The sequence below is a fragment of the Homo sapiens genome, chromosome 19 (assembly GCF_000001405.40).
Source record: "Homo sapiens chromosome 19, GRCh38.p14 Primary Assembly".
Lineage (NCBI taxonomy): Eukaryota > Metazoa > Chordata > Mammalia > Primates > Hominidae > Homo > Homo sapiens.
In genome coordinates this window covers 27,677,777-27,688,959 of record NC_000019.10, presented here as the reverse complement: position 1 = coordinate 27,688,959, position 11,183 = coordinate 27,677,777, and the positions used below count along the sequence as shown (strand labels likewise).

The 11,183-nt window shown below is 37.0% G+C and overlaps 1 long non-coding RNA gene across 2 annotated transcripts; it reads left to right on the top strand.

Annotated features, from left to right (window-relative positions):
• Positions 1 to 989: 989 nt before the first annotated feature.
• LOC105372345 (uncharacterized) lies at positions 990 to 7,888 on the top strand. 2 transcript variants are annotated; one of them, XR_935879.3, is made up of 3 exons: positions 3,685 to 4,265; positions 4,353 to 4,454; positions 5,377 to 7,259. It is a non-coding gene; the product is annotated as an uncharacterized LOC105372345 (long non-coding RNA). The 2 variants fall into 2 exon arrangements; XR_007067370.1 differs by lacking the exon at positions 5,377 to 7,259 and adding an exon at positions 7,605 to 7,888 and having other exon boundaries at positions 990 to 4,454.
• Positions 7,889 to 11,183: the final 3,295 nt, after the last annotated feature.

Below are 11,183 nucleotides of genomic sequence, written 5' to 3'. Positions count from 1 at the left end.
GTTAAAATGCTTTGAGATGTGAGGATTCATCTCACAGGTTTAAACCTTTGTTTTTATTCAACTGATTGGAAACACTCAATTTTGTATAATTGAGAAGGGACATCACTGAGCCCATATAGTGAAAAACCTAATATCCTGTGATAAAAAGAAGGAAAAAAATCTGGGAATATGCTTTGTGATGTGTGGATTTATCTCACAGAATGGAAACTGTGTTTTGACTCACCAAGTTAGAAACACTCTTTTTGTAAAATCTACAAAGGGACATTTCTGAGCCCATTGAGGACTACAGTAAAAAATTGAACATTGCCCTATAAAAACTAGAAACAAGCTATCTGTGAAAATGCTTTGTGATGTGTGGATTAACCTCACAGTGTTAAACCTCTGTTTTGATTCAACAGATGGGAAACACTTTTTTATAGAATCTACAAAGAGACATTTCTGAGCCCATTAAGGCCTGTAATAAAAAAATCCTGCGATAAAAACTAGAAACAAGTTTTATATGAAAATACTTTGCTATTTGTGGATTCATCTCACCAAATCAAACCTGTGTTTTGACTCAAAAAGTTAGAAACACTCTTTTTGTAGAATCTATGAAGGGACATTTCTGAGCCCAATGAGGTCTATAGTGAAAACCTGAATATCCCACAATAAAAACAAGAAACAAGCTACCTGTGAAAATACTTTCCAATGTCTGGATTTATCTCACAGAAGTAAACCTTTCTTTTCAATCATCAGGTTGGAAACAGGATTTTTGTAGAATCTACAAAAAACCATTTCTGAGCCTGTTGAGGCCTATAGTAAAATAACAAATATTCTGCAATAAAAACTAGAAACAAGCTATCTGTGATGTGATCTGAGCTATTTGTGATGTGTGGATTCATCTTACAGGGTTAAAGCTTTGTTTTGATTCAACAGGTTGAAAACACTTTTTTGTAGAATCTACAAAGGGATGTATCTGAGCCCATTGAGGACTATATTAAAAAATTGAATATCTCACGATATAAACTAAAAAGAAGCTATCTATGAAAATGCATTGCTAAGTGTGGATTCATCTCATAGAGATAAAACTTTGTTTTGATATAACAGATTGGAAACACTTATTTTGTAGAATCTACGAAGTGACATTTTTGAGCCCATTGAGGCCTATAGTAATAAACTGAATATCCTGTGATAAAAAATAGAAAGAAGCATCTGTTAACATGCTTTGCAACCTGTGGATACATCTCACAGAGTTAAACTTTTATTTTGATTCAACAGTTTGAAACAGGCTTTTTGTAGAATCTACAAAGGAACATTTCTGATGCTATCTAGGCTTATAGCAAAAAAATGAATATCCCTTGATAAAAACTAGAAGCAAACTATGTGAAAATGCTTTGTGATGTGTTGATTCATCTCATAGAGTTAAACCTTGGTTTTGATTCAACAGTTAGAAATACACTTCTTTCAGAATCTATGAAGGAACTTTTCCGAGCCAATTAAGCCCTATAGTAAAAAACCAAATATTCCACGATAAATACTAGAAACGAGCTATCAGAGAAGATGCTCGGTAATTTGAGGATTTATATTACAGTGTTAAATTTTTGTTTGCATTAAGCTGGTTGGAAACACTCTTTTAGTAAAATCTACAGAGGGACATTTCTGCAGTTCTTCAGGCCTATAGTAAGCAGCTGAATATCCTGCTCTGAAAAGTAGAAACAGGCTATCTGTGAAAATGCTTTGTGATATGTGGACTCTTCTCACTGAGTGGCACCTGAGTTGTGATACACCAGACTGGAAACACTCTTTTTCTAGAACCTATAAAGGGACATGTCTGAGGCCACTGAAGCCTATAGTGAAAAACTGAGTATTCCATGATAAAAACTAGAAACAAGCCATCTGTGAAAATGCATTGTGTTATTTGGATTCACCTCACCAAATTAAAGATGAGTTTTGATTTAGTGTGGAAAACACTCTTTTTGTAGAATCTATGAAAGGATATTTCTGAGCCCATTGAGGATCTATAGTAAAAAAATCTATTATCCTGTGATAAACACTAGAAGTAAGCTATCTGTGAAAATGCTTTGCCTTGTGTGGATTCATCTTACAGAGGTAAGCCATTGTTTTAATTCAACAGATTGAAAACGTTCTTTTTGTAGAATCTACAAAAAGACATTTCTGAGCTTATTCATGTTTATAGAGAATAACCAAATATTTTGTGATAAAAACTAGAAACTAGGTATACGTGAAAATGCTTTGCAATGTGTGGATTTATCTCACAGAGTGAAACCTTTATTTTCATTCAAGAGGTTGGAAACACTCCTTTTGTAGAATCTAGAAAGGGACATTTCTGAGACCATTGAGGCCTTTAGTGAAAAACAAAATATCCCATGTTAAAAACAAGAAAGAAGCTATCTGTGAAAATGCTTTGTAATGTATTAATTCATTTGACTAAATAAAACCTGTGTTTTGATTCACTAGGTTTGAAACACTTTTATTTACAATCTATGAAGAAACATTTTTGAGCCCTTTGAGGTCTATAGTGAAAAAGTGAATATTCTGTGACACAAACTAAAAACAAGCTCTCTGTGAAAATGCTTTGCAATGTGTGGATTTATCTCACAGAGTTAAACTTTTTTTTTATTCAACAGGTTGAAAACACTCTATATAGAATCTACAAAGAGACATTTCTGAGTCTATTGAGGCCTATAGTGAAAATTCAAATATTTAAACTAAAAACAAGTTATCAATTAAAACGCTTTGTGATGTGTGGATTCATCACACAGAGTTAAACCTTGGTTTTGATTAAGCAAGTTGGAAACATTCTTTTTTAGAATCTAGAAGAGACATTACTGAGTGCATGAAGGCCTATAGTGAAGATCTGAATATCCCACGATAAAAAGTAGAAACAAGTTATCTGCGAATATGTTTTGTGATGTGTGGATTTATCCCACTGAATGAAACCTGCGTTTTGATTCAAGTTGGATAGACTCTTTTTGTAGGATCAATGAAGAGTCATTTCTGAGCCCATTGAGGCTTACTGTGAAAACTCGAATATTGCACTATAGAAACTAGAAACAAGCTTTCTGTGAAAATACTTTGAAAGCTGTGAATTTGTCTCACCGAATCAAACCTGTGTTTTGGTTCAACAAGTTGGAAACACTCTTATTGTAGAATCTACAAAGGGATATTTATGAGACCATTGAGGCCTATAGTGAAAAATGAAATATCCCATTATAAAACTAGAAACAAGCTATCTGAGAAAATGCTTTTTAACATCTGGATTTGTCTCACTGAGTTAAAGCCTTGTTCTAATTCGTTAGACTGAAATCACTTTTTTGTAAAATCTACAAAGGAACATTTCTAAGCTTATTGAGGGCTATAGTGAAAAAATGAATATTCCACGAAAAGAACTAGGAACAAGCTATCTGTGAAATGCTTTGCGATGCATGGTTTTATCTCACAGAGTTAAATCTTTGTTTTGACTTAACAGGTTGGAAATCCTTTCTTTGTAGAATCTACAAAGGGATGTTTCCGAGACCATTGAGGCCTGTAGTAAAAAATCAAATATCTCATGATATAAACTAAAAAGAATCTATCAATGAAAATGCATTGCAAGGTGTAGATTTATCTCATAGAGTAAAATTTTAATTTTGATTCAACAGGTGGTAAACACTCTTTTTTTTTTTTTTTTTTTTTTTTTTTTAGAATCTATGAAGGGACATCATTTCTGAGCCCATTGAGACTTGTAGTGAAAAACCAAGCATCCCCTGATAAATAGGTAGTAGAAACAAACTACCTATGAAAATGCTTTTTGATTTGTGGATTTATCTCACAGTGTTAAATTTTTGATTTGATTCAACTGGTTGAAAACATTCTTTATGTAGAATCTATGAAGAGACGTTTTTGAGCTTATCGAGATGTAAGGTGAGAAACTGAATATCCCGCTATGCAAAGTACAAACAAGCTCTCTGTGAAAATGCTTTGTTATATGGGGATTCTTCTCACTGAATGGATCTTGTGTTGTGATTCACTGGGTTGGAAACACTTTTTTTTAGAATCTATGAAGGGACATTTCCGAGGCCATCGAGGCCTATAGTGAACAACAGAATATTCTGTGATAAAAACTAGAAACAACCTACCTGTGAAAACGATTTGTGATCTTTGGATTCATCTCACCACATGGAACCTGTGTTTTGATTCAGCTGGTTGGAAAAACTCTTTTTGTGGAATCTACCAAAGGATATTTCTAAGCCCGTTGAGGCCTATATTAAATTGATTATCTCATGGTAAGAACTAGAAACAAGCTATCTGTGAAAATGCTTTGCATTAGGTGGATTCATCTCATGAAGTTAAACCTTTGTTTTATTCAACAGGTTGAAAGCATTCTTTTTGTAGAATCTATGAAAAGACATTTCTGAGCTTATTCTGGTTTATAGAGTAAAACCGAATATCCTGAAATAAAAACTGGAAACTAGGTATGTATGAAAATGCTTTGTGATGGGTGGAGTTATCTCAGAGTAAAATCTTTGTTTTGATTCAACAGGTTGGAAATACTCTTAGTGTAGAATATATGAAGGGACAATTTCAAAGACCATTAAGGCCTATAGTGAAAAAACAAATATACTGCAATATAAACTAGAAACAAGCTATACGTGAAAATGTTTTGTGATGAGTGGATTTATCTCACAGAGTTAAACCTATGTTTTGATTCAACAAATTGAAAATACTCTTTTTATAGAACTACAAAGAGAAATTTCTGAGCCTTTGAAACCTATACTGAAAAACTGAATATTCCACCATGAAACTAGAAAGAAACTATACATGAAAATGCTTCGTGAAGGGTGGATATTTCTCACAGAGTTAAACCTTTATTTTGATTCAACAGGTTAAAACCAGGTTCTTTGTAAAATCTATGAAGGAACATTTCTTAGCCCATTGAGGCCTAGTGTGAAAACCCAAATATCACACAACTAAAACTAGAAAGAAGCTATTTATAAAAATACTTTGTGGTATACGGATTTATCTCACAGAATGAAACCTTTGTTTTGATTCAAAATGTTGGAATCATATTCCTTGTAAAATCTATGAAAAAACACTTCTTAACTTATTGTAGCCTAGAGTGAAAAACTGGATAACCCATAATAACTAGAAACAAGCTATCTGTGACAATGCTCTGTGATGTGTGGATTCATCTCACATAGTTAAACTTTTGCTTTTATCAACAGATTGGAAACACTCTTTTTGTAGAAACTACAAAAAGACATTTCTGAGCCCATGGTGCATACAGTGAAAAAATAAAAAATTGTATGATAAAAGCTAGAAACATGGTATGTGTAAACATGCTTTGCCATGTGAGGTTTCATGTCAGAGAGTTCAACATTTGTTTTGATTCAACAGGTTGAAAACACAATTTTTGAAGTATCTATGATGGGACATATCGAAGCCCGTTGAGACTTAGTGAAAAACAGAATATCCCCTGACAAAAATTAGAAACAAGCTTTCTGTGAAAATGTTTTTTGATGTCTGTATTTATCTCACTGAATGAAAAATGCATTTTGATTCAAGATGCTGGAAACACTATTTTTGTAGAATCTATGAAGGGATATTTCTGAACTCATTGAAGTCTACAGTGACAAACCGACTATCCAATGATAAAAACTAGAAATACGCTGTGAAAAAGTTTTATGATGTGTGGATTCTTCTCACTGAATTAAACCTGCATTGTAAATCATCAGGACTGAAACCTTCTATTTGTAGAATCTATGAAGGAACATTTATGAGCCCATCGAGGCCTGTATTGAAAAACAAAGGATCCTGTGGTAAAAACTAGAAACAACCTAAATATGGAAATGCTTTGAGAAATGTGATTCATCTCACAGAGATGAATCTTTGTATTGATTCATCAGGTTGGAAACTCTCTTTTTGTGGAAAATAAAAGGTCTAAAAAGAGACATATCTGAGCCCATTGTGGCCTACAGTGAAAAACTGAATTTCTTGAACAAACGCTGGAAACCAGCTATGTGTGAAAATGCTTTGTGATGTGTGGGTTTATCTCACAAAGTTAAACCATTGTTTTGATTCAACATGTTGGAAACACTCTCTCTGTAGAATCTATGAAAAAACATTTCTGAGCTCATTGAGAAGTATAGTGAAAAACCACATATCCTGAAATAGAAACTAGAAACAAGATACGTGTGGAATGTTTGTGATGTGTGGATTCATCTCACCAAATGGAACCTGTATTTTGATTCACCCAGTTGGAAACACACTTTTTGTAGAATCTACGAAGGGACATTTCAGAGCCCATTGAGGCCTATTGTGAAAAATCAATTATCCCATGGTAAAAACTTGAAACAACCTATCTGTGAAAATACTTTGTGATGTATAGATTCATCTCACAAAGTTAAACCATTGTTTTTATTCAACACATTGGAAACACTATTTTTTAGAATCTACAAATAGAAATTTCTTAGCTTTTTGAGACCTATAGTAAGAAACTAATATCCCACAATAAAAACTAGAGACAAGCTGTATGTGAAAATGTTTTGTGATGTGTGCATTCATCTAACTGAATGGCACCTGTGTTTTGATTCACAAGGTTGGAAACACTTTTTGTAGAATCTACAGAGGTACATTTCTGAGCCCATTGAGGCCTACTGTGAAAAACCAAATATTCTGTGATAAAAATTAGAAACAAGCTATCTTTGAAAATGCTTTGGTATATGTGGATTTATCTCACAGCATTTAACCTATGTTTTGATTCAACAGGTTGGAACGACTTTTTTAGCAGAATCTATGACAGTACGTTTCTTTGTCCTTTTAAACCTATCATGAAAAACCAAATTTCCTGTGATAAAAACCAGAAACAGGGTTTCTGTGAAAATGCTTTGTGATGTGTGGATTCATCTCACAGACGTTAACCTTTGTTTTGTTTCAACAGGTTCAAAACACTCTTCCTGTAAAATCTACTTAGGGACAGTCCTGAGCCCATTGAGGTCTTTAGTAAAAAACGGAATATCCCATGATAAAAACTAGAAACAAACTATCTGGGAAAATGTTTGTGATGTGTGGTTTCATATCACAGAGTAAAACCTTTGTTTTGATTTAAAACGTTGAAATCACTCTTTTTGTAGTATCTAGAAATGGATATTTCTGAACCCGTTGATGCTTATAGTAAAAAATTAAATTTTCTACAATATAAACTAGAAACAAACTATCCGTGAAAACGTTTTGTAATATGTTAATTCAGCTCTCAAAATTAAACTTTTGTTTTTATTCAACACCTTGGAAAAGCTTTTTTTTTTGTAGAATTTACAAAGGGACGTTTCTGAGCTCATTAAGGCTTATAGTGAATAACAAAATATCCCACCTAAAATTTAGAAACAAGATATCTGTGAAAATAATTTCCGATGTGTAGATTTAATGCACAGAGTTAAAACTGTTTTAATTCCACAGATTGGAAACTTTTTTTGTAGAATCTACGAAGGGACATTTCTGAGCCCATTGAAACCTATTGTGAAAAAGCTAATATCCCGTGATAAAAACTAGAAAGCAGCTATCTGTGAAAACGTTTTGCAATGTGTGGATTCATATCAAAGGCTTAAAACTTTGTTTTAATTCAACAGGTTGGAAACTTTTTTTGTAGAATCTATGAAGAAACATTTCTGAGCTCACTGAGGCATATTTGGAAAAATGGGTATCTCACAATACAAACTGGAAACAAGCTATCTGTGGAAACGTTTTATGATGTGTGGATTCATGTCACAGAGTTAATCCTTTGTTTTGATTCAACAGTTTGAAAACACTTTTTTTGTAGAATATACAAAAAGACATTTCTGAGCCCTTTGAATCCTATAGTAAAGAAACAAATATCTCACGATAAAAACTAAAAAGAAATTTTCTGTGAAAATGCTTTGTGATGTGTGGATTCATCTCATAGAGTTAAACCTATGTTTTCATTCAACACATTGTAAACACTCTTTTTGTAGAACCTATGAAAAGACATTTCTGAGCCCATTGCAGCCTTTAGTGAAAAACCAAATTTCCCACGATGAAAATTAGAAACAAGCTACACGTGAAAATGCTTTGTAATGTGTGGATTCATCTCACCGAATGGAACCTGTGTTTTGATTCAATGGGCTAAAAGCACTGCTTTGTAGAATCTGTGAAGGGACATTTCTGAGCACATTGAGGTCTATTGTGAGAAACTGAATATTCCTCAAGAAAAACTAGAAACAATCTATCTGTGAAAATACTCCAGGCCAATCCAGGCATTCTAATGGGAGAGACCTTTGGCCCACCTCAGGCAGTCTAAGGATAGAGACACTTGGGTGACTTCAGGCATTCTAATGGGAGAGACTCCTGGCTGAGCCCAGGCATTGTAATGATAGAGACACCTCCGCAACTCCAGACATTCTAACACGAGAGACTCCCGGTCGACCCCAGGCTTTATTGTGATAGAGACACCTGGGCGACCCCAGGCATCATTATTGGAGAGACTCCAGGCCGACCTCAGGCATTTTTTTTTTTTGAGACAGAGTCTCATTTTGTCACAGAAGCTAAAATAGAGTGACACAATCTCAACTCACTGCAACTTCCATTTTCTGGGTTCAAGTGATTCTTTTGCCTCAGCCCCCCAAGTAGCTGGGATTAATGATGTGTGCCACTGCATCCAACTAATTTTTGTATTTTTAGTAGAGACAGGGTTTCACCATGTTAGCCAGGCTGCTCTTGATCTCCTGACGTCAGGTGATCCACTGCCCTCGGCCTCCCAAAGTGCTTGGATTACAACCCCAGGAATTCTAAGGAGAGAGACTTCCTGCTGAACAAAGGCACTCTAATGATAGCGACACCTGATGGACCACAGGCATTCTAATGGGAGAGACTCCTGGTTGACCCCAGGCAGTCTAATGATAGAGACACCTGGGCGACCTCAGGCATTTTAATGGGAGAGACTCCTGGCACACTCTAGGCATTCTAATGGGAGAGACTCCTTATCGACTCCAGGTATTCTAATGATGGAGACACCTTGGCGACCCCAGGCCTTAAAATGGTAGAGACTTCCAGCCAACCCGAGGCATTCTAATGATAGAGACACCTGAGCCACCACAGGTAATTTAATGGGAGAGAATCCCAAGTGACCCCAGGCATTCTAATGGGAGAGACTCCTGGCTGACAGTAGTCTTACAGAGACACCTTTGGGAGCCCAAGCATTCTAATATGAGAGATTCCTCACCGACCCCAGGGAGGCTAATGACAGAGACACCTGGGAGACCCGAGGCATTCTAATGTGAGAGACACCAAGCGGGCCCAAGGCAGTCTAATTATAGAGACACATTAACGTCTCTATAATGGGAGAGACTCTCGGCCGAGACCAGCAGGCTAGTGACAGAGACAACTGGGCAACCCAAGGCAATCTAAACAAACAGACTCCTGGCTGGGCGCAGTGGCCCATGCCTGTAATCTCAGCACTTTTGGAGGCTGAGAGGGGTGGATCACGAGTGCAAGAGATTGATACCATCCTGGCCAACATGGTGAAAACCTGTCTCTACTAGAAATACAAAAATTAGCTGGGTGTGGTGGCCTGTGCCTGTAGTCCCAGCTACTCGGGAGAGTGAACCCTGGAGGTGGAGTTTGCAGTGAGCCGAGATCATGCCATTGCATTCCAGACTGAAGACAGTGAGACTCCATAAAAGCAAAAATAAAAACAAACAAAACCTCCTGGCTGACTTCAGGCATTCTAATGGGAGAGATTCCTGGCCGACCTCGGGCTGTCTAATAATGGAGACACCTAGTTGACTTCAGGCATTTTAATAGGGAAAGTCCCTGACCAACCACAGGTGGTCAAATTATAGAGACACCTGAACGATCACAGTCATTCTAATGAAAGAGACTTTAGGCTGACCCAAGGCATTCTAACAGGAGAGACTCCTTGCCTACCCAGGCAGTCTAATTATAGAGACACATGGGTGACCCCAGGAATTCTAATGGGAGAGATTCCTGGCTGAACCCAGGCATTCTAATGATAGAGACACCAGGGTGACTCCAGGCATTTTAATGGGAGATTCTCCTGGCCAATTTTGAGCATTCTAAAGGGAAGCATTTTAATGTGAGAGACTCCTGACTGAACCCAGGCAGTCTAAGGATAGAGACAGTTGCGTGACTTTAGGCATTCTAATGGAAGACACTGTGGGGGAAAGAAAGAGAGATCAGACTGTTACTGTGTCTATGTAGAAAGAAGAAGGCGTAAGAAACTCCATTTTGTTCTGTACTAAGAAAAATTCTTCTTTCTTGAGATGCTGTTAATCTGTAACCCTAGCCCCAACCATGTGCTCACAGAAACATGTGCTGTGTTGACTCAAGGTTTAATGGATTTAGGGCTGTGCAGGATGTGCTTTGTTAAAAATGTGTTTGCAGGAAGTATGCTTGGTAAAAGTCATCGCCATTCTCCAGTCTCGAGCACCCAGGGACAAAATTGAGCAGTTTAATTGTAGAGACATCTGGGCAACTCAGGCATTTTAATAAAGGAGACTCCCAGCTTGCCCCCGGCAGTCTAATGATGAAGACACCTTGTTGACCCCAGGCATTCTAATGGGAGAGACCCAGCTGACCCCAGGCAGTCTAAAAATAGAGACACTCAGGTAACACCAGGCATTTTAATGGGAAAGACATCTGGCCGACAACAGGCAGGCTAATTTTAGAGACTCTTGGGTTGCCCCAGACATTCTAATAAGAGAGACTCTCAGCTGAACCATGGCAGTCTAATGATAGAGACACCTGGGCGACCCAGACGTCTTAATAGGATAGAATCCCAGACGACTCCAGGCATTCTAACAATAGATACATTTTGGCGAATCCATACATTCTAATATGAGAGATTCCCGGCAGACACAAGGCATCCTCTCAGGAGAGAATCCTGCCTGATCCCAGGCAGTCTAATTATAGAGACAACTGGGTGACCCCAGGCATTCTAATGGGAAAGACTCCTGGCCAACCCCAGGTGGTTTAATGATAGAGACACTTGGGCAACCCCACATTCTAATGGAAGAGACTCCTGATCCACCCCAGCATTCTAATGAGAGATAACTTTTGCCTACTGCAGGCACTCTCAGGTTAGAGTCACCTGGGCAAACAAGCATTCTACTGGCAGAGACTCCTCGATGACCAAATACACTCTAATTATAAAGACACCTGGGTGACCCCAG